Source organism: Homo sapiens, chromosome 14 (genome assembly GCF_000001405.40).
Source record: "Homo sapiens chromosome 14, GRCh38.p14 Primary Assembly".
NCBI classification, from domain to species: Eukaryota; Metazoa; Chordata; class Mammalia; order Primates; family Hominidae; genus Homo; species Homo sapiens.
In genome coordinates this window covers 62,033,931-62,058,086 of record NC_000014.9, presented here as the reverse complement: position 1 = coordinate 62,058,086, position 24,156 = coordinate 62,033,931, and the positions used below count along the sequence as shown (strand labels likewise).

The window sequence follows — 24,156 nt, the reverse complement described above, 5'->3', positions numbered from 1 at the left end:
CGAATGAATCTCAAAAGCATTAAACTAGTGGGTAAAAAGGTAAAAAGAATGTGCATTATATAACTCCATTTTTATAATAATCTAAAAATTCAAAATAATATATAGTGACAGAAAATAGATCCATGGTTGCCTGGGGTGGGGTTAGAGAGAGAGATGGATTACAAAGAGGCAGGAGGAAATTTTTGGAGTGATGTAAATATATGTTTTCTTGACTGTGGTATTTGTTTCACAAGTACAATATGTCAAAACTCATCAACTTGTATACTTTATGTATGTGCGGTTTATTGTACTTCAAGTGTGCCTCAATGGAGTTTTTTTAAGTAGCTTAAAAGAAATCTATATCTTATAGCAGCCTTACCTCTTTCCTTTGCGAGACCCAGAGGATCTCCCCTTGGTGACTCAAATATTCCCAGCATTAAGTCATTTCTGTGCAGTTGAGAAAGCTCAAATCCATAAGTCATGAGCCAATAAGTACTTGTCTTCCTGCCCTAAACCTAGGAAAGAAGCCCAAGTACCCATGAAATGTTGCATTTCTCTACTCCCCACTGTATTTACCTGGGAAGTTCTTCTGGCATTCCTATTTATATTGTGAGTTCCTAGACAAACCTTTAAATCCAGCCGAGAGCTTACTTGTCCGACCCTACCCCCATGTCTCTAGTTATTGGACCCTCTTCCCTGTCCCAACAGCCACGAACTAAGGTCAAACCCAACTAACTCTGAATACAATGATACTACAACCTGGGCCCTTCTGGTGCCATATTCAGCCCACTATATTTATGCCTATGAGAAAAAGTGTTTACCTATTGTGATGGTTAATATTGAGTGTCAACTTGATTGGACTGAAGGATGCAAAGTATTGTTCCTGGGTATATCTGTGAGGGTGTTGCCAAAGGAGATTGGCATTTGAGTGAGTGAACTGGGAAAGGCAGACCTACCCTCAATCTGGGTGGGAACCATCTAATCAGCTTTCACCATGGCCAGAATAAAAAGCAGGCAGAACTGGGCTCCTGGCTGACCACGGGGCCTTTGCACGGCCTGGGCTTTGCGACCGCAGTGTCCTCCTCCTGTCCCCGGTCGTGCGCCGTGCCCCCCAGCGCGGCTCACGTTTCGGAACACGTCTGACTTTCATGCCTCCCGAAGAGCCTCCCTGCATCCCGTGCCCCCTGCTCGCTGCTGCCGCTGACCCTTGGGCGCCGCGCTCGTCCAGAGCGTGTTGTCCTCCGACGCCGTCAGAACCTAAGCTCCCTGCAAGCTGGGACTCCGCCGTGTCTTCATTGCCTCCAGTGCAAAGCAACTGCTTGCAAGAGAACAAAAGTGTGTTCAGGTGCACAGAGTAGAAAATTCAAGGAGCCTGAATGGGTATTTGGTGAAGACTTGATGTGTTTTTCCCAGTCCTAACCTCCAAGGCCCAGTTCTCCCCTGGGGCAGAGAGAAACCCGTTTCTTATGTGTCTACAAAGAAAGTCTATGCAGGAACATCTACGTGCGTTTCTGCAAAAGGTCAGTTACTTTACTCGGGGCCTTTATACTTAACGTAGCTTGGAGAGCGCCCCATGCATTCAGATACAGGTGGGATTCATCCGGAAACGGAGTTTTATAGCACCAGACTTTATCCCCTTTCCTGTAGAAATTTAGGGTTTTTGCTGTCTTTTATAACCAACAATGCTAGCCTGACTATTCCTTGTACAAACCCTTTTTTGCCCAGGTCAGACTATTTTCTTAGGTTAAATTCCTTGGTGTAGAAGTGCGAGGGCTGTATTTAGGCCCCTAAAGGGGTGGTACCAAATCGCCCTCCTCCACCAGCATAAGAAGGGGCTGGTGACACCCTTGCCCAAGCTGGATTTTGCAGACCTGGTAGACGTGAGATAGTATTTCACTGTAGCTTTGTGTTTCCTGTAAGTATAATCAAACGTCGTGATGTTCCTGTCACATCTATTTTACGTTGATCATTGTTACCACTGATAATCATTTCGAGATTGGAAAATACGTTTATTATAAACATTTGACTATTTAAAAGCAAAAAAAAAAAAAGCAGGGAGAAGAACGTGGAAAAAGTAGACTGGCTGAGTCTTCTGGCCTCCATCTTTCTCCCACACTGAATGCTTCCTTCCCTTGAACGTCGGACTCCAAGTTCTTCAGCTTTGGGACTCTTGGACTTTCGACCACAGACTGAGGCTGCTCTGTCGGCTTCACCACTTTTGAGGTTTTGGGACTCAGACTGGCTTCCTTGCTCCTCAGCTTGCAGATAGCCTATTGCAGAACTTTACCTTGTGATCATGTGAGTCTATACTCCTTAATAAACTCCCCTTTATATATACATCCATCCTATTAGCTTTGTTCCTCTAGAGGACCCTGACTAATACACCTATATCAGCCCCAAGTTGTCCTTGCATTTTTGAGCAGGGATTTGTGTTGCTGATTATTCACCTAAGGGATCCACCCTATATCAAGGGCTCCTCTAGCCTCTTTGAGGCTTATTTTCTTTCCCCGCCAGACCAAATCCATCAAAGATAAAAGAAGAGCCATGATGAAAGTACTGACAGGTAGGGTGATTGGTTCTGACTGCAGGGATCACAAAACCCTCACCACAGGTAGTATTCTAAACAGATTCATATCTGTAGTCAGATTCACTGCGCCCTCCTTTCTCACTGCAAGGACTCTCTCAAGTAACGATGTTTTCTGAACATTTGGCTTTGATGATTACTCTAAGCTGTTTCATCACTGCAAAAAGATTCACCTAGACAAAAGCAAGTGTGAAACTGTCAGCCTCTCTGACTCTTTTAAGCTCTGCTGTCTCATTTGTATGCCTCCTATAAGGGAATTGCTTGATAGGACCCAAGAGTTGTGTTGTTTTCCTACTATGGTGGCATTTGCATACAAATGAATGGCCAAGACTGTAATTTACTCTGCTGAGAACTGAGGTGACCTGATAATTAAATTTCTGCACATGCAGAGAAAACACAAAACCAAACGGTTGTTCTTGCTTTCTTTCCCCAAACCCCCAATATTTCTCTATCACTCCAATGAATCCTTACAAGCAAATGTTGAGTCAACATTTTAATTTACAAATTCTCTGACTAGAAAGATTTTTTTTAATCTCATTGCCATAGATTCTAAAATGAAGGGCCTGGGATGTGTAAACAGGCTGAAAAAGATCATGAATGGCTCTTGCAATTTTCAGGTGTTGTGAGTTTCTAGCTTTCTAGCTGTTCAGTTTATTCACTAGTCTTCCTATCCCATGCTGTAAATCATCCTCAAGGCAATTTCTAAAGTTATTCTTTTATCTCACAACAGAGGCAAGTCAAGCTACAGAGATAATTTCTATAAGGCAGTTATAAACTCCCTTCAGCATCGACTCTATAATGAATATATCCAAATATATCACAACTGAAAATAAATAGACTGAATATTAAGAATAGACTCACTAGCCAGGCACAGTGGCTCACATCTGTAATCCCAGCACTTTGGGAGGCCAAGGCAGGCACATCACCTGAGTCCAGGAGTTTGAAACCAGCCTGGGCAACATGAGGAAACTGTACCTCTACAAAAAAATACAAAAATTAGCTGAGCGTGGTGGCACGCACCTGTAGTCCCAGCTACTAGTCAGGCTGAGGTGGGAGGATTGCTTGAGCCTGGGAGATTGAGGCTGCAGTGAGCCATGATCATGCCACTGCACTCCAGCCTGGATGACAGGGTGAGACCCTATCTCCAAAAAAAAAAAAAAAAACTCACTTCACTAAGTAACAGCTTTTATAAAGGCCATATTCAAAAAAAAAAAATCATACAATCTGTAGATCAGATATTTGGTGGTGGTATGCTTATACTAGAATAGCAGCCCCCAAATGATTCCCTGATAAAATCTAATAATAAATAACTCTTCTCCATTTGCAAAAAGAAAAATGGAAAAGGTTTTCTAAATGTTCACTTTTCCCCTAACACTTCTATGCCGTGGATGCCTGCTATCACACACATGCTGACAAGAATAAGCAGGTAATAAAACACATGAATATTAGCAAAGAAACTTGGAAATAGCTAATCATGTTTCTTTCCCCAGCTTGCTTTGTCATGGATATGCACATTCACGGCTATGACTGTTAAATGGCTTCCATAATCTAGTCATATTTTCCACTGGTAAAATGGTTCCTGATTCATGATGAAAATAAATCCATTAAAGTTTCATGGGGTTCCACAAAAAGCACCTCGACTTTTTAGGCATTCAACCACCTAAAAACAAGCCTGGCACCATTGAACAAAAAATTGCTCTAGGTATAATAATGCCTTTTGTTCCATTCATTTTCATAATTGTCATACAGAGTTTAGTTTACCTTCTATTATTTTCTTATTTACATTTTCTAAATAGGTTTATGTAGTCGTGACTCCCCTAACATTTCTGAGGAATTTGCAGTCTTAATTCATACTTTTCTAGTCTCTGCCCTTAACATCTATTATACTATTAAGAATAAAGCACATGCTTCAATAGTGAATGAACAAAGGAATTTAAAAATTAGTACAATACTGTATTAGGGTTCTGCAGAGAAATAGAATCAATAGGATATAAATGTGTATAGAAAGATTTGTTATAAGAGATGAGCTTATGCAATCATGGGAGCTGAGAAGTGCCAAGGTCTGCAGTCAGCATGCTGGAAACCCAAGAAAGCCAGTGATGTAGTTTCAGTCTGACTTTGAAGGTCTGAGAACCAGGGGAACCAATAGCGTAAGTTCCGGTCAGAGTCCAGATACTTAAGAATCAGGAGAGCAGATGATGTAAGTTTCAGTCTGAGGGCAGGAGAAGGCTCATGTCCTTGAGAAAGGATCCCCTTTCCTCTACTGTCCAAAAAACGTCTTTTTCATTTCCATCTGAGACTTCATCAGAATGGACTTTACTGTTCACATTTCTACCAACAATCTGGACATGATTATTTACGTATTCTCTTAGAAGATGGGAGTTTTCTCTAGAGCTCTCCTCTTTTCTGAGCCCTTACCAGAATCACTTTTAAAAGTTCCTTCATGACAATTTTGGCGTCTTCTAGCATGTACTTCAAAACCCTTCCAGCCTCTACCCATTACCCGGTTCCAAAGCTGCCTTCACATTTGTAGATATTTATTACAGCAGCACCCCACTGCTCAGAACCAATTTATGTCTTTCATGCTGCTATAAAAAAGTATCACAGACTGAAAGATTTATAAACAGCAGACATTTATTTCTTATAGTTCTTGAGGCTAGAAATCTGAAATCGGGATGCCAGCATGCTTAGGCTCTGGTGAGGGCCCTCTTCTAGGCTGCAGACAGCTGACTTCTCTTTTTATCCTCACATGACAGAAAGAGAGCTCACTAACTCCCTTGCCTTTTCTTATGAAGGCACTAATCCCACTCATGAGGGCTCCACCTCCATGACCTAATTAATTCCCAAACACTCTACTTCTAAGTACCAACCCATCAGGATTATGGTTTTAAGAAATGAGTGTTTTTTGGGGATGTAAACATTTAGTGCATAACACCCCACAAACACACAGAAGATAATACATTAGAGGGATTCAACTAGCTTAAGGAAGGATGGAAAACAATCAAAGTATACATAGTAATCGCATGCATATGTGGAAGATTTACAAAAATTAGGCCTATATTAGGCCATGAGAACAGAAGCTTCAGAGCTACAATTAGACCACATTCTAATTTCAACACCGTTAAAAATAAAAGTCTCTTAAAAATTATAAAAATGCTTTTGGAAACCAGAAACCACATTTTTAAATAATTGATGGGTCAAAGAAAAAGCCATAATTGGAATGATAAAATATTTACAACTGAAAAATAATGAACACATCACATATCATACATTTGTGGGGTATAGTTAAAGTGGTACTTAAAGGAAATTCATGGATTAATCTAATGCACATATTAGAAAGCAAAAAAAGATTGAAAAACTAATATGATAAATGGTCAACTTAAGATGTTATCAACCAACAGTTTAAACCAAAGCAAAATACAAGGAAGAACTATAAAAGATAAAAGCAGGTATTAATAAAAATATTAATATAAAGAAAACATAACAAAATCAGAGACGATAAAGACTGCATTTTTTTAAAATGTTTCCCAGGCTGGAGTGCATAGCTCACTGCAGCCTCAACCACCCAGGCTCAAGGGATCCTCCACACTCAGCCTCCCAAGGAACTGAGACTACAGGTGTGTGCCACCACACCCAGCTAATTTTCTAATGTTTTATAAAGACAGAGTTTCACCAGGTTGCCCAGGCTGATCTCAAACTCCTGGGCTTAGGTGATCCACCTGCCTTGGCCTCCCAAAGTGCTAGGAATACAGCCACCATGCCCAGCCAAAAACTGCATGTTTTAACAATAAGCCACTAACAAGATCGACTGAGATATAAGACTATACATACAGTGAACCTTTAAAAATCCAAAGAGAAAAAAATAAGTTTAAGCAACTATGCAATTTTAAAAAGAAAAATACAGGGAGGTGGAGCCAAGATGGCCGAATAGGAACAGCTCTAGTATACAGCTCCTAGCGTGACTGATGCAGAAGACGGGTGATTTCTGCATTTCCAACTGAGGTACTGGGTTCATCTCACTGGGTAGTGCCAGACAGTGGGTGCAGGACAGTGGGTGCAGCGCACCGTACATGAGCCAAAGCAGGGTGAGGCATCGCCTCACCAGGGAAGTGCAAGGGGTCAGGGAATTCCCTTTCCTAGTCGAAGAAAAGGGTGACAGATGGCACCTGGAAAATCGGGTCACTCCCACCCTAATACTGCACTTTTCCAAAGGGCTTAACAAACAGCACACCAGGAGATTATATCCCGCACATGGCTCGGAGGGTCCTAAGCCGACACAGCCTCGCTCATTGCTAGCACAGCAGTCTGAGATCAAACTGCAAGGCAGCAGTGAGGCTGGGGGAGGGGCGCCTGCCATTGCCCAGGCTTGAGTAGGTAAACAAAGCAGCCGGGAAGCTCGAACTGGGTGGAGCCCACCACAGCTCAAGGAGGCCTGCCTGCCTCTGTAGGCTCCACCTCTGGGGGCAAGGCATAGCCAAACAAAAGGCAGCAGTAACCTCTACAGACGTAAATGTCCCTGTCTGACAGTTTTGAAGAGAGTAGTGGTTCTCCCAGCACGCAGCTTGAGATCTGAGAACGGACAGACTGCCTCCTCAAGTGGGTCCCTGACCCCCAGTAGCCTAACTGGGAGTCACCTCCCAGTAGGGGCGGACTGACACCTCACATGGCTGGGTACTCCTCCGAGACAAAACTTCCAGAGGAATGATCAGGCAGCAGCATTTGCGGTTCACCAACATCTGCTGTTCTGCAGCCACCACTGCTGATACCCAGGCAAACAGGGTCTGGCGTGGACCTCCAGCAAACTCCAACAGACCTGCAGCTGAGGGTCCTGACTGTTAGAAGGAAAACTAACAAACAGAAAGGACATTCACACCAAAAACCCATCTGTACGTCACCATCATCAAAGACCAAAGGTAGATAAAACCACAAAGATGGGGGAAAAACGGAGCAGAAAAACTGCAAACTCTAAAATTCGGAGCGCCTCTCCTCCTCCAAAGGAACGCAGCTCCTCACCAGCAACAGAACAAAGCTGGACGGAGAATAACTTTGACGAGTTGAGAGAAGAAGTCTTCAGAAGATCAAACTACTCCGAGCTAAAGGAGGAAGTTCGAACCAATGGCAAAGAAGTTAAAAACCTTGAAAAAAAATTGGACGAATGGCTAACTAGAATAACCAATGCAGAGAAGTCCTTAAAAGACCTGATGGAGCTGAAAACCATGGCACGAGAACTATGTGACGAATGCACAAGCCTCAGCAGCTGATGCCATCAACTGGAAGAAAGGGTATCAGCAAAGGAAGACAAAATGAACGAAATGAAGCGAGAAGAGAAGTTTAGAGAAAAAAGAATAAAAAGAAACGAACAAAGCCTCCAAGAAATATGGGACTATGTGAAAAGACCAAATCTATGTCTGACTGGTGTACCTGAAAGTGACGGGCAGAATGGAGGCAAGTTGGAAAACACTCTGCAGGATATTTTCCAGGAGAACTTCCCAAATCTAGCAAGGCAGGCCAACATTCAAATTCAGGAAATACAGAGAATGCCACAAAGATACTCTTTGAGAAGAGCAACTCCAAGACACATAATTGTCTGATTCACCAAAGTTGAAATGAAGGAAAAAATGTTAAGGGCAGCCAGAGAGAAAGGTCGGGTTACCCACAAAGGGAAGCCCATCAGACTAACAGCTGATCTCTTGGCAGAAACTCTACAAGCCAGAAGAGAGTGGGAACCAATATTCAACATTCTTAAAGAATTTTCAACCCAGAATTTCATATTCTGCCAAACTAAGCTTCATAAGTGAAGAAGAAATAAAATCCTTTACAGACAAGCAAATGCTGAGAGATTTTGTCACCACCAGGCCTGCCCTAAAAGAGCTCCTGAAGGAAGCACTAAACATGGAAAGGAACAAGTGGTACCAGCCGCTGCAAAAACATGCCAAATTGTAAAGACCATCAAGGCTAGGAAGAAACTGCATCAACTAACGAGCAAAATAACCAGCTAACATTATAATGACAGGATCAAATTCACACATAACAATATTAACCTTAAATGTAAATGGGCTAAATGCTCCAATTAAAAGACACAGACTGGCAAATTGGATAAAGAGTCAACACCCATCAATGTGCTGTATTCAGGAAACCCATCTCACATGCAGAGACACATATATGCTCAAAATAAAGGGATGGAGGAAGATCTACCAAGCAAATGGAAAACAAAAAAAGGCAGGGCTTGCAATCCTAGTCTCTGATAAAACAGACTTTAAACCAACAAAGATCAAAAGAGACAAAGAAGGCCATTACATAATGGTAAAGGGATCAATTCAACAAGAAGAGCTAACTATCCTAAATATATATGTACCCAATACAGGAGCACCCAGATTCATAAAGCAAGTCCTTAGTGACATAAAAAGAGACTTAGACTCCCACACAAAAATAATGGGAGACTTTAACACCCCACTGTCAACATTAGACAGATCAACGAGACAGAAATTTCACAAGGATATCCAGGAATTGAACTCAGCTCTGCACCAAGCAGACCTAACAGACATCTACAGAACCCTCCACCCCAGATCAACAGAATATACATTCTTTTCAGCACCACACCACACCTATTCCAAAATTGGCCACATAGTTGGAAGTAAAGTACTCCTCAGCAAATGTAAAGAACAGAAATTATAAAAAATTGTCTCTCAGACCACAGTACAATCAAACTAGAACTCAGGATTCAGAAACTCACTCAAAACCCCTCAAATACACGGAAACTGAACAACCTGCTCCTGAATGACTACTGGGTACATAATAAAATGAAGGCAGACATAAAGATGTTCTTTGAAACCAACAAGAACAAAGACACGACATACCAGAATCTCTGGGACACATTCAAAGCAGTGTGTAGAGGGAACTTTATAGCACTAAATGCCCACAAGAGAAAGCAGGAAAGATTTAAAATTGACACCCTAACATCACAATTAAAAGAACCAGAGAAGCAAGAGCAAACACATTCAAAAGCTAGCAGAAGGCAAGAAATAACTAAGATCAGAGCAGAACTGAAGGAAATAGAGACACAAAAAACCCTTCAAAAAATCAATGAATCCAGGAGCTGGTTTTTTGAAAAGATCAACAAAATTGATAGACAGCTAGCAAGACTAATAAAGAAAAAAAGAGAGAAGAATCAAATAGATGCAATAAAAAATGACAAAGGGGATATCACCACTGATCCCACAGAAATACAAAATACCATCAGAGAATACTATAAACACCTCCATGCAAATAAACTAGAAAATCTAGAAGAAATGGATAAATTCCTAGACACATACACCCTCCCAAGACTAAACCAGGAAGAAGTTGAATCCCTGAATGGACCAATAACAGATTCTGAAATTGAGGCAATAATTAATAGCTTACCAACCAAAAAAAATCCAGGACCAGATGGCTTCACAGCCAAATTCTACCAGAGGTACAAGGAGGAACTGGTACCATTCCTTCTGAAACTATTCCAATCAATAGAAAAAGAGGGAATCCTCCCTAACTCATTTTATGAGGCCAGCATCATCCTGATACCAAAGCCTGGCAGAGACACAACAAAAAAAAGAGAATTTTAGACGAATATCCTTGATGAACGTTGATGCAAAAATCCTCAGTAAAATACTGGCAAACCGAATCCAGTAGTACATCAAAAAGCTTATCCACCATGATCAAGTGAGCTTCATCTCTGGGATGCAAGGCTGGTTCAACATACACAAATCAATAAACGTAATCCAGCATATAAACAGAACCAATGACAAAAACCATATGATTATCTCAATAGATGCAGAAAAGGCCTTTGACAAAATTTAACAACCCTTCATGGTAAAAACTCTCAATAAATTAGTTATTGATGGGACATATCTCAAAATAATAAGAGCTATCTATGACAAACCCACAGCCAATATCATACTGAATGGACAAAAACTGGAAGCATTCCCTTTGAAAACTGGCACAAGACAGGGATGCCCTCTCTCACCACTCCTATTCAACATAGTGTTGGAAGTTCTGGCCAGGGCAATCAGGCAGGAGAAGGAAATAACGGGCATTCAATTAGGAAAAGAGGAAGTCAAATTGTCCCTGTTTGCAGATGACATGATTGTATATCTAGAAAACCCCATTGTCTCAGCCCAAAATCTCCTTAAGCTGATAAGCAACTTCAGCAAAGTCTCAGGATACAAAATCAATGTGCAAAAACCACAAGCATTCTTATACACCAATAACAGACAAACAGAGAGCCAAATCATGAGTGAACTCCCATTCACAATGGCTTCAAAGAGAATAAAATACTTAGGAATCCAACTTGCAAGGGATGTGAAGGACCTCTTCAAGGAGAACTACAAACCACTGCTCAATGAAATAAAAGAGGATACAATACAAGATACAATACAATGAAAGAGGATACAAACATTCCATGCTAATGGGTAGGAAGAATCAATATTGTGAAAATGGCCATACTGCCCAAGGTAATTTACAGATTCAGTGCCATCCCCATCAAGCTACCAATGACTTTCTTCACAGAATTGGAAAAAACTATTTGAAAGTTCATATGGAACCAAAAAAGAGCCCGCATTGCCCAGTCAATCCTAAGCCAAAAGAGCAAAGCTGAAGGCATCATGCTACCTGACTTCAAACTATACTACAAGGCTACAGTAACCAAAACAGCATGGTACTGGTACCAAAACAGAGATATAGACCAATGGAACAGAACAGAGCCCTCAGACATAATGCCACATATCTACAACTATCTGATCTTTGACAAACTTGACAAAAACAAGAAATGGGGAAAGGATTCCCTATTTAATAAATGGTGCTGGGAAAACTGGCTAACCATATGTAGAAAGCTGAAACTGGATCCCTTCCTTACACCTTATATAAAAATTAATTCAAGATTGATTAAAGACTTAAATGTTAGACCTAAAACCATAAAAACCCTAGAAGAAAACCTAGGCAATACCATTCAGGACATAGGCATGGGCAAGGACTTCATGTCTAAAACACCAAAAGCAATGGCAACAAAAGCCAAAATTGGCAAATGGGATCTAATTAAACTAAAGAGCTTCTGCACAGCAAAAGAAACTACCATCAGAGTGAACAGGCAACCTACAGAATGGGAGAAAATTTTTGCAACCTACTCATGTGACAAAGGGCTAATATCCAGAATCTACAATGAACTCAAACAAATTTACAAGAAAAAAAACAAACAACCCCATCAAAAAGTGGGCGAAGGATATGAACAGACACTTCTCAAAAGAAGACATTTATACAGCCAAAAAACACATGAAAAAATGCTCATCATCACTGGCCATCAGAGAAATGCAAATCAAAACCACAATGAGATACCATCTCACACCAGTTAGAATGGCGATCATTAAAAAGTCAGGAAACAACAGGTGCTGGAGAGGATATGGAGAAATAGGAACACTTTTACACTGTTGGTGGGACTGTAAACTAGTTCAACCCTGTGGAAGTCAGTGTGGCGATTCCTCAGGGATCTAGAACTAGAAATACCATTTGACCCAGCCATCCCATTACTGGGTATATACCCAAAGGATTATAAATCATGCTGCTATAAAGACACAGGCACACGTATGTTTATTGCGGCACTATTCACAATAGCAAAGACTTGGAACCAACCTAAATGTCCAACAATGATAGACTGGATTAAGAAAATGTAGCACATATACACCATGGAATACTATGCAGCCATAAAAAATGATGAGTTCATATCCTTTGTAGGGACATGGATGAAGCTGGAAACCATCATTCTCAGCAAACTATTGCAAGGACAAAAAACCAAACACCGCATGTTCTCACTCATAGGTGGGAATTGAACAATGAGAACACATGGACACAAGAAGGGGAACATCACACACCGGGGCCTGTTGTGGGGTGGGGGAAGTGGGGAGAGATAGCATTAGGAGATATACCTAATGTTAAATGACGAGTTAATGGGTACAGCACACCAACATGGCACATGTATACATATGTAACAAACCTGCACGTTGTGTACACGTACCCTAAAACTTAAAGTATAATAATAATAAAATTTTAAAAAAGAAAAATACAAAACATACAGACCAACAACCATTACAGAAATAGTATTTAGAAAAAAATTCCAAAAGACTTAACATACCCCGATGCTTTTATACACCTTTGTCCAACCTTCAAAGACTAGGTGACTGCTCTTTTATAGAAGCTGTTTTAGAAGGAAAAACTTCCCATATAATTATATGAGAATAATGTAAACTCAAGGAAGATAATTTATACAGTAGATCAATCTCACTTATGATCCTAGTAGCAAATATCCTAAACTACATAGCAGCAAACAAAATTTATTTTATTTATTTATTTATTTATTTATTTTAGACATAGTCTCACTCTGTCACCCAGGCTGGAGTGTAATGGCGCAATCTTGGCTCACTGCAACCTCTGCCTCCAAGGTTCAAGCAATCCTCCTGCCTCAGCCTCCTGAGTTGCTAGGATTACAGGTGCGTGCCACCACGCCCAGCTAATTTTTGTATTTTTAGTAGAGATGGGGTTTCACCACGTTGGCCAGGCTGGTCTCGAATTCCTGACCTCGTGATCCACCCACCTCTGCCTCCCAAAGTGCTAGAATTACAGGCGTGAGCCACTGCACTCTCCACAAAATTTATAATGTATTAAAAATAGTTGTCGCTGGTATATGCAGAGGACTGGTTCTAGGACATAACCCCCACATATGCTTATCAGCACTTACTCAAGTCCGGCAGTCAGCCCAGCAAAACCCACAAAGACTTGGAACCAATCCAAATGCCCATCAATGATAGACAGGATAAAGAAAATGTGGCACATATACACAATGGAATATCATGCAGCCATAAAAAAGAATGAGTTCATATTCTTTGCAGGGACATGGATGAAGCTAGAAACCATCATTCTCAGCAAACTAACACAGGAACAGAAAACCAAACACCTCATGTTCTCACCCATAAGTAGGAGTTGAACAATGAGAGCACATGGACAGAGGGAGGGGAACATCACACACCAGGGCCTGTTGGGGGTGGGGAGGCAAGGGGAGGGAGAACATTAGGACAAATACCTAATGCATGCGGGGCTTAAAACCTAGATGATGGGTTGATATGTACAGCAAACCACCATGGCATGTGTATACCTATGTAACAAACCTGCACATTCTGCACATGTATCCCAGAAATTAAAGTAAAATTAAAAGAAGAAAAGAAAAGTCAACCCTCTATATAGTCAAGTTTTGAATCCCAGGAATACTGTAATTTCTCTTTCGTTTCCTATTTTTTTTTTTTTCAAAGACAGGGTCTTGCTCTGTCACCCAGGCTGGAGTGCAGTGGTACAATCATAGCTCACTGCAGCCTCAAACTTCTGGGCTCAAATGATCCTCCCTCCTCAGCCTCCAAGTTGTGTATTTTTGATCCATGTGTGATTGAAAAAGACCCCCATAAAAATGGAACTGTGCAATTCAAATCTATGTTATTCAAGGGTCAGTGGTACATTAAGAATAAGAGCCTATAGCATAGGCCAGGCATGGTGGTTCATGCCTGTAATCCCAGCACTTTGAGAGGCCGAGGTAGGAGGATTGCTTGAGGCCAGGAGTTCTAAACTAGCCTCAGTAACATAGCAAGATTCTGTCTCTACAAAAACAGTTTGTAGCAGTCATGCAAAGAAGTTTAAGTATTATGAAAGTCTCTTAAATATAATTAATCTCATTGACAGGTTAGGGATGAAAAACATATAATCATCTCAATAGATGTGGAAAATCAATTTTAAAAACTTCAACATCAAGGCTGGGCGCGGTGGCTCATGCCTGTAATCCCAGCACTTTGGGAGGCCAAGGCAGGTGGATCACGAAGTCAAGAGATCAAGACCATCCTGGCTAACATAGTGAAACCCTGTCTCTACCAAAAACACAAAAAATTAGCTGGGCATGGTGGTGGGCGCCTGTAGTCCCAGCTACTCAGGAGGCTGAGGCAAGAGAATGGCGTGAACCAGGGAGGCGGAGTTTGCAGTGTGCTGAGATCACACCACTGCACTCCAGCCTGGGCGACAGAGAAACACTCCATCTCAAAAAAAAAAAAAAAAAAGAAAGAAAAATTTCAACATCCATTCCTGATTTTTTAAAAAAGAAAGTCTTAACAAACTAGGAATAGAAGATAACTTTCTCAACCTGAGACAGAAAATCTATCAAGCATCACAGTCGATAGCGAAACTTTAGCATTCCTCAGAGATAATTCAAGACAAGAATACTTATTCTCATCACTTCCTTCTGAGGGGGTACTGGAGGTCTTAGAAGTACTACTATAGGACGAGAAAAATAAATGAAGTACATGAACTGGAAAGCAAGAAATAAAATTTCAAAAATAGAACTTTCTATGTAAAAAAAAAAAAAAAAGAGAAACCACAGGCAACCTTTAAAACCATTAAGAATTTATCAAGGACACTTCTGTTTCTGATCAAGGTGGAATAACAAGTACCAAATTTACCACCACATAGACATAAAACAGGCAAAGATGGGGGCATAAACAATGGTTCTCAAGATACTGAACTCTAGTAAACAAAAAACCAGGGATTCCTGAGAGGTGAGAAATGAGAAAGGTAAGTCCTATGATTGTCCAAGCTGGCTCCCTAGAGAAAATTACCAGGCCACAGCTCAGAGAAGAGGACTCAAGACAAGGCTGGGGTGGTTTCCCTAATTTGAGAAGATGGAGTAAGATGTCCAGGGAGGTCAAGGACTAAGAGCTCACAGAAACAGTATTAAAGAGGAAACCTGCCAAGAGAAAGAACTCCAGAGATATACAGTATTTGAGTGTTTAGCGGAATACTGATCAATACATGCATGTGAGGATTCAGAATCATGGAAAGAACCACTTGAAATGATTGGCAGGAACAGTACCCAGGGCTCACTGAGAGCCACAAATAGTGCCTGTTCCAACTAGAATGGAAACCTCATTATTAACAGTGCACAGGGTAAACTCTTCAGAAAGATTTGACCTCAGTAATGAGGAACAATCAGCCCCAGGTAGACCATTGCTTTAGCCCTTCCTAACAAAGCTTAAAGCAAGATCTGAAATGATCGAAGAGCCACTATATAACTTAACAACATCCTGGAACAAAGCTCAAAAATATTTATATATATCTTGCACGCAAAGGTAAAATTCACAATGTGTGATATTCAATCAAAAATGTTTGGGCTGGGCGTGGTGGCTCACACCTATAATCCTAGCACTTTGGGAGGCCGACATGGGAGGATCACTTGAGGCCAGGAGTTCAAGACCAGCCTGGTCAACATAGCAAGATCCCACCCCCACAAAAAAAAGCAAAAGAAAAAAAATTTTAGGGATGCAGAAAAGATAATATACCCATAATGAAGGGGAAAGTCAATCAATTGACATGGAGCTAGAAATTACACAGAGAATAATTAGTAGGAAAGGACAGTTTATATTACTATATTCCATATATTCAACAAACTAGACAACAGATTGAACCTGATAGGTAAAGAGATGAAAGATTCAAATGAAACTTATAGAGATGAAAATTAAACACAGTAAAATATACTGACTGGGATTGATGGCAGATTTGGGCAATGCAGAATAAAAGACTAGTGAGCTTGAAAACAGCAATAGAGACCATCCAAAATGAAACACAGAGAAAAATAATCAACGTAAGAAACATGAAGAAAGCACCAGTGAGCTGTGGGACAATTTCAGGTGGCACAATACATATGTAATGGGAAACCCTGAAGGAGAGAGGGGCAGAAAAAAAATCTAAAAAATAATGGCCCATATGGTGAAACCCCAACTCTACTAAAAATATAAAAAGTTAGCTGGACATGGTGGCACTCACCTGTAGACCCAGCTACTCAGGAGGCTGAGGCAGGACAATTGCTTGAACCCGGGAGGCAGAGTTGCAGTGAGCTGAGATCATGCCACTGCACTCCAGCCCAGGCGACAGAGCAAGACTCCATCTCAAAAAATAAAAAAATGGCCCAGAGTTTTCTGTATTTGATGAAAATTATAAGCCCACCAATTCAACAGGCTCAACACAGTCTAAGCCTGAGAAAAATGGTGAAAACTCTATCAAGGCATATAATAAATTCCTTAAAATCAGTTAAAAGTAGCCAGGAACAGAACACAAAGAGTGAACACTAATGCAAACTATGGGCTTTAGTTAATAAGTGTGATGGTTAACACTGAGTGTCAGCTTGATTGAAGGATACACAGTATTGTTTGTGGGTGTGTTTGTGAGGGTGCTGCCAAAGGAGATTAACATTTGAGTCAGTGGAGTGGGAAAGGCAGACCCACTGTTAATCTGGGTGGGCACAATCTAATCAGAATAAAAAGCAGGCAGAAGAACATGAAAAGGCTAGACAGGACTAGCCTCCCAGACTACATCTTTCTCCCATGCCGGATGCTTCCTGCCCTCAAACATCGGACTCCAAGTTCTTCAGCTTTCGAACTCGGACTGGCTTCCTTTCTCCTCAGCTTGCAGACGGCCTATTGTGGGACCCATTGATTGTGTGAGTTGATACCCCTTAATAAACTCCCCTTTATATATACATCTATCCTATTAGTTCTGTCCCTCTAGAGAACCCTAATTCAATAAGGTACCAATATCAGTTCATCAATTGTAACAAACGTACCACACCAATCTAAGATGTTAACAGGGGAAACAAGGCAGGAAGAGGTAAGAGTATATGGGACCTCTTGGTACTTTCTGCTCTCCAGTTCCATAAAGCTAAAATTGCTCTAAAAATAATATATTTTTTAAAAGTAGAGGAAAAAGAGATGTTTCATGTACAGAGGAACATGGATAAGGATGACAGCAGAATTCTCATTTTAAAATCTCACTGTGAAACAATATTTCTTAAATGCAGAAAGAAAAAAACTGACAGAACTCTATACTTAGACAAAATATCTTTCAAAAACGAAGGCAAAATACACTTTACAGAAAGAATTCATCACTGTCAGACCTGCAAAACAAAAAATGTTAATGTCAGTCCTGCAAGCAAAAGAAAAATACCAAATATAAATCTGGATGTATGCACCTGAAATCACTATGTGGATAAATACATAAAGATTTGGGTTCTTATTATTTAAACCTCTTTTTGAAATGTCCCAATTGTATGTATGTGTTGTAGCAGGCAGATGTTAACTTTGACCCTCTAGCATCTTTCTCTCTTTTTCAGTAACAATATCTTGATTTTCTTGTAGAAAACCACCCCTCTCCATATCTTCATGAGGTTTGGGTGAGATTGATCCCACATTCCTTCATTTTAGGCTGGGGAAAAAACTCAAGTCTAGCCAATGATAACCAGCCTCAGGACTTTGCTGGAAATATTATGAGCAAGCTTCCCCATTCCTGCAGCTGTGGTGGATAAACAAGTAGAACATAAACTGGTATCTGCCATCATCTGGGGAAATTCTGCCTAAGAAAGAAGCCAACACAGTAAAAGAGAAAAAAAAAAAGCAGAACCAAGATTGCTGCTAGATTACTGCTTTCAACACCCTCCGTGAACTGGAGCAAATCATTCTTGTATCCAGCACTCACTGGATATGCTTTCCTAGCATATCACTTTTCACTAATGTGAGTCAGTAAAATCTAGTGTGTATGTGCGTGTGTGTGTGTGTGTGTGTGTGTGTGTGTGTGTGTGTGTGTGTATGCTTAAGCCCCTCTGAATTTGGCTTCCATCACTTGAGCCCAGATGTATTCTCATATAGTGGTGAAGTGCAAAAGTATTAGAGGTGAGAGTTCAGAGATCTCTGTTCAAGATCTGCCTCTGTCAACACATAATTATGAAATCTTGGCCAAAGAACTTTATATTGCTCTGTCTGCTGAATTCCTGCAATAAATGCTGTCTCTATTCTTAATGCATTAAAAATGTATTAAATTCATTAAGCATATAAATATATATCATCTTGTGATGTCTTCTATCTTGACTAGCTATTTAAATCTTTATTAACATTTTATTCATTTAATGTCTTATTTCTTCAGGTTGCATGTCCTTGCGTCCTCACACATAGCTAATGCTACCCTCTCTTATCCCAACATAGACCTAGCATACATAATATGTGGAAGTGGATTTTAGGGCCTTCTTAGCTTAGAATACTTTATGAATCTATAAGAATATCATAGCCCCAAATATCATTCATTACTGCTCCCTGATTTCATGGCATTCTATTCATAATGACCAAGGCACCTCATGCCTTGTCTTTTCAACACTGCAAGTTCCCTGCAGCTGCAGGGTCTGCATTAGGTCTCCACAACCCCAAGATGGATCACTGTTAGCACACTGAAAGCATTAGCTGAATTAAACTAAACTAGATCAAAACTTCCCCTTACAGCCAGAAATTTTTTTCTTCACTGAAGAAGAGGAGGAGTGAAGCATAAAGGATTTAGAATTTTAAAAACCCAAGTTAGGGTCCTAGTTCTGCCACTTGTTAGCTGTGTGACTTGCCATTTGTCACTTTACTTCTCTGACCTTCCATTTCTTCATATATAAATGGGAATAATAATCCCTGCCTTGCCTTACAAAGTTGTTGTGACAAGCAAAAGAAACACTTTGTAGGCACAAAAGAACTCTACGCAACGTTTATTAGGCATTATCATGTGCTCCTCATGTTACATATAATATTCCATTTAAAACTTACAATATCCTCAGAGAAAGCTATTAAATCATTATTCAACAGATGAAGTTACTGAAGCCCAGAAAAGTTAAGTAACATGTGGGTGAGCCCTTTCTGATTCTCAAGTACATAGTCCTTCCATCACATTTTCCTGCTGGGTCAACACAAAGTACAAATGCCAGGTGTTCCATTCCTCAGGTTCCAGGGAACTATAAAGGCCAGACAGAGAGCTGGGCCTCAAAACCAAAATGACACAAAACAAATGAGTCCTGGGACCCAAGGAGTCCTTGCTTTCCACAGTAGCTGGGATCAACAAAATCATGGAATATGTGCCACTGTTGATTAAGCAGACGGATGTGTAAATAAGCGATTTTCCCTCAATTCACTTTTCTTTTCCTATCCTGCTTCCAGGTTTGTCATAGCTCCACTCTGCCAGCTCTAAACAGGACGTGGACAGGGGTTTCTCCAGGGCCCATGCATGGCCAGTAGATTAATCTTGCAGGCACCCCTGATGGATTTTGCTGCTGCTAGAGTATGGTATATGAATTGGATTCTGAGGCCACACTCAGGAAAGAGTACCATGTATCTTCTGTATCAAAAGTAGAGGCTGTGAATTGGTTATGGTACTCTTGCCTGAGTGTGGCCTCAGAATCCAACCCATATACCACACTCTAGCAGCAGCAAAATCCATCAGAGATGCCTGCAAGCGAAACTACCGGCCATGTGTGGGCCCTGGAGAAACCCCTATCCACATCCTATTTAGAGCTGGCAGAGTGGAGCTATAACCAAGCCTGGAGGCAGGATAGGAAAAGAAAAGTGAATTCAGGGAAAATCACTTATTTACAAATCCATCTGCTTAATCAACAGTATTGACTCTATGACATGCCAGGCTCAAGCCTGATGCAGATGTACATGGTGATCATAAAAAGACCTCTGCCCATGCCTGGCTACAGGTTACCAACATACAATTACAATACCACCAGCTCCCTCTTCTATGACACTAGAAGGCTCTGGGGGGCCACAAAGCAGGCAGGAAAGTCAGGTTCACTTAAGAAATCAGAAATAGCCCAGATGAGTCACTAGCTTAGACATGCCAAGTCCATTGTTGGAACCCTTGGGACTAGATATGTTTCAAGATTCAGGTTCGTTCAGATTTTAAAAAGACAATATGGTACATGTACCATGTATTATTTAATACCCCAGTGGAGTCTGAGGAAACACCTTGTAATAAAACACATTAATAATTAAAACATGATTATTCAAACTAACAGAGAGATAAGTAAACACTCTAAATAACCTCATCTCAGTTAAAACAATCTTAACGACAAGAAAAACATTCCAGTTTTAGATGGTTTGGTTTTTACAATTCCAGATAAAGGTTTGTGCACCTGCATTAAGAATAGTGTTGAAAACATCAATTTAAGACACAAGCTAATTATGTGTCCCTGATTTCTAGAAGAGACATCCCGAACCACATGTTGATAGTTAATAAAGACGTGTAAACTTTTTCCCTAAGAGATTATTGGTAAATTAATATAAATTTAAGACACAGGATAGAGTCTGGAGATGACAGAGTATGCAAGGAAGTTACATAAACACAAAGAAAACACTAAAAAACTACAAGACCTTGTGAACAGGAATCCTGCCATAACTAAGCCAAAGGGGTAAAAAAAAAAGCTCATGCTTCTGAAATTCATTTCAAGTGGGGACCAGATTCTCAGAGCATCTGAGACCTGACTGTAGCTCAGAGGCAAAAGTGTCTAAGAAACACAATAACTTGTTCCTAGTTGCTGCATACAGTGGAGGCTTTTCAGTCCTCTTTTGCCATCCTCTCAGCAGAACACGTGGCCACTGACCAAGTTCCTTCCCTTGTCCTCCATGACAACACAGCCTCATTTTCCTCTGTTCTCTTTGTTCATCTCAGCCCCTGAAGCCAACTCATTTCTTCTACCATCTCTTGGCACCAGTGCTCCTCAGGAATCTACTGTGAGCACTTGCTCAGTATATGGTGTGCCTGTGTCCCCACCCAAATCTCATCTTGAATTGTAGCTCCCATAATCCCCATGTGTCATGGGAGGGACCTGGTGGGAGGTGATTGAATCATGAGGGCGGGTTTTTCCCGTGCTTTTCTCATGCTAGTGAATAAGTCTCATGAGAGCTGATAGTTTTATAAAGGACAGCTCCCCTGCACAGGCTCTCTTGCCTGCCACCACGTAAGATGTGCCTTTGCTCCTCCTTTGCCTTCTGCCATGATCATGAGGCCTCCCTAGCCATGTGGAACTGTGAGTCCATTGAAACTCTTTCCTTAATAAATTAGGCAGTTTTGGGTATGTCTTTATTAGCCGCACGAGAATGGACTAGCACACTGAGTCCATATGCTGTCTCTGCAAATCTTAACCCACAGCTCCAACTCCCACCTCCATACTGATGGCCAGCAGGGCAGCTTCTCCATCCCTCTCTCTCCTGAACTCTTGACACATGTATTCAACACTACCTCTAGCCTCAGCTTTCTCCACATCCCCACCCTGCCCATCTCCGCTTCCAGCCATACCCAACCAATGCGTGGTTACCTCTTTTCTTTTTTCAGATCCTCACGTTTCTATGCCCAGGATGTCTCTGCTCCCATACTCTCATTTCCAACTTTAACTCATTCTTCAAAATGCTCTAAGCTTCACCTGCTTTGAGATCTATTCTCCACCTCCCACAGAAAACAAATCTCAGCTTGGGTTCCTTTCCCTCATTTTCATTCCTCCTACGCCCTGTGCTTACCCCTATGGAAGCACTTACCAAAATAATCTGAAGCTCTCCCTTTACTTGTAATATTCCCCTGACCAGACTGACAGCTCCTTAAAAGTAGAAGCAGGATCCCTCTCTCTGCATCCTCAGAGCCTACATAGCTTGCACAGTGTCAGCCCAACAGCAGCTGCTCGATAAATATTTATTGAATGAAGGCAGTAATTAATTAGCCCCATCCTACTGTAGTTGGAGGAGTAGGAATTCTAAGAGCATCTAACATGGAAAAGCATCTATCACCATAACCAGCACAATGGGTGCTTAATACGGATCTGTTGAATGAATCAATTATATATTTCATTAGTCTTTATAGGACTCTTCACCTTGAAATTCAGATATACATGAAATTCAGATTAAATGGGCTTTTGTGCTCTGGATTTTAGCCCCAACTTTTATAGGAAAGTGTCTTTCAAGTTCCAAATAGCTTACAAAGCAATGCGTGGAACAACACCCATTGGTAAGCAAGAGCTCTGTGCACAACAGTGAAACCCTGTTAATCAAATTTAGTTTTTATTAGTCTATTTTCACTTCTCTTCCCTAAACCTGGAAATTGATATATGTCTCTTTGATGGAATTAAATATATATTCCTTCATTATTTTCTTCCCGTATTGTATCCAACCTTTATCTTCATGTTCTTTTTCTCTTAAGTGGATTCAACATTCTTAAGAGCTATTATAAAATGGTAAAAAGATTAAGAGAATAGTCTGACCAAATAATTAGGACAAAGTAAAAATCAAAGCAGTACACAGCACAAATAGAAAGAATTCATACTTTCAAAAATAAGATACTAAACAACTGGGCTACATGCCCTTGGAACTGCTGCATGCTGAGTTCTGGAATATATGCTAAAACTGGTCATGATCCAAATTGGATTTAAGGGGAGTCTAGCAACATGTTAAAGAACCTTCATACAAGAACCTACCAGAGCTCTTGAGGCAAGCTGTGCCCAGAAGATTTGACCCTTCATACTCAAAAATTACCCTTCCAATGCACCAGAAAAACAGAGGACATATGTAAATACTTAAGGTCACTTCAAAGACAATACTGTCTGTCACACCAAAGCCACAAGGCAAACTAAGAAGCTTTCGGGGTAGGACACTCAGTCAAATCCACCCTCAGACAGAAAAACTTTTGTCATTTTCTGGAAGATCAACTGGAACAGTTTTTGTTTTGTTTGTGAGGAAGCCTTTTTTAAAAAACAGCTTTATTGATATATAATCACATAACAATTCACCAATTTTAAGTATACAGTACAATGTTGTACAGACTTATGCAACCATCACAATCAATTTTAGCACATTTTCACCACACGAAAAGGAAACCTCATATCTACTACCTGTCACCAACCCATTCTCCCCCACCCCTGGAATCCCCCCATCCCCTCAGCCCTAGTCAGCATAATCTACTTCCTGCCTATATGGAATGGCCTATTGTGGACATTGCATATAAAAAAGAGTCATATAATATGTGGCCTCTTGTTACTGACTTCTTTCATTTGCATGTTGCCAAGCTTCACCCATGTTGTAGCATATGTCAGTAGTTCATTCTTTTTACAGCCAAGTAATATTCCATTTGATGAATAGACTACATTTTGTTGATGCATTCATCAGTTGATGGACATTTGGGTTGTGTTCATTTTTCAGCTATTATGACTGATGGTACTATGAATATTCATGTACAGGATTTTGTTTGAACATATGTTTTCATTTCTCTTGAATTTATGCCTAGGAGTGGCACTGCTGGGTTCTATGGTAACTCTATGTTTAATCTGTTGATGAACTGCTATACTATTTTCCAAAGGGGCTAAACAATTTAACATTCCCACCAGCAGTATATTAAGGTTCCAATTTTTCCACATCCTCACCAACACTTGTTATTATCTGTCTTTTTTATTACAGCCTTGCTGGTGGGTACAAGGTGGCACCTCATAGTGGTTTCAATCTGCTTTGCTCTGATAGCTAAGAATGTTGAGTATTTTTTCATATACTTATTGGTCATTTGTATATCTTCTTTAGAAAAATAGACATATTCAAGTTCTCTGCCCATTTTAATTGGGCTTTTTATTATTTAGCTGTAATAACTCTTTACACATTCTTGATGCATGTCCCTTACTAGATATAAAATTTGCAAGTGCTTTCCCTCAT

The 24,156-nt window shown here is 40.6% G+C and overlaps 1 protein-coding gene across 18 annotated transcripts in view; it reads right to left on the bottom strand.

Moving 5' to 3' along the window:
• SYT16 (synaptotagmin 16) overlaps window positions 1-24,156 on the bottom strand; it is a 300,664-nt gene that overhangs the window by 54,739 nt on the left and 221,769 nt on the right. Inside the window, exon 1 of one of the 18 annotated variants that reach the window (XM_011537227.2) lies at window positions 359-475. The exons of the other annotated variants lie outside the window; for them this stretch is intronic. Coding sequence (XP_011535529.2) covers window positions 359-461 — 103 coding nt within the window. The 5' untranslated portion in view covers window positions 462-475. Of the gene's footprint in view, window positions 1-358; window positions 476-24,156 lie in introns of those variants that run through there. 18 annotated transcript variants of the gene reach the window in all.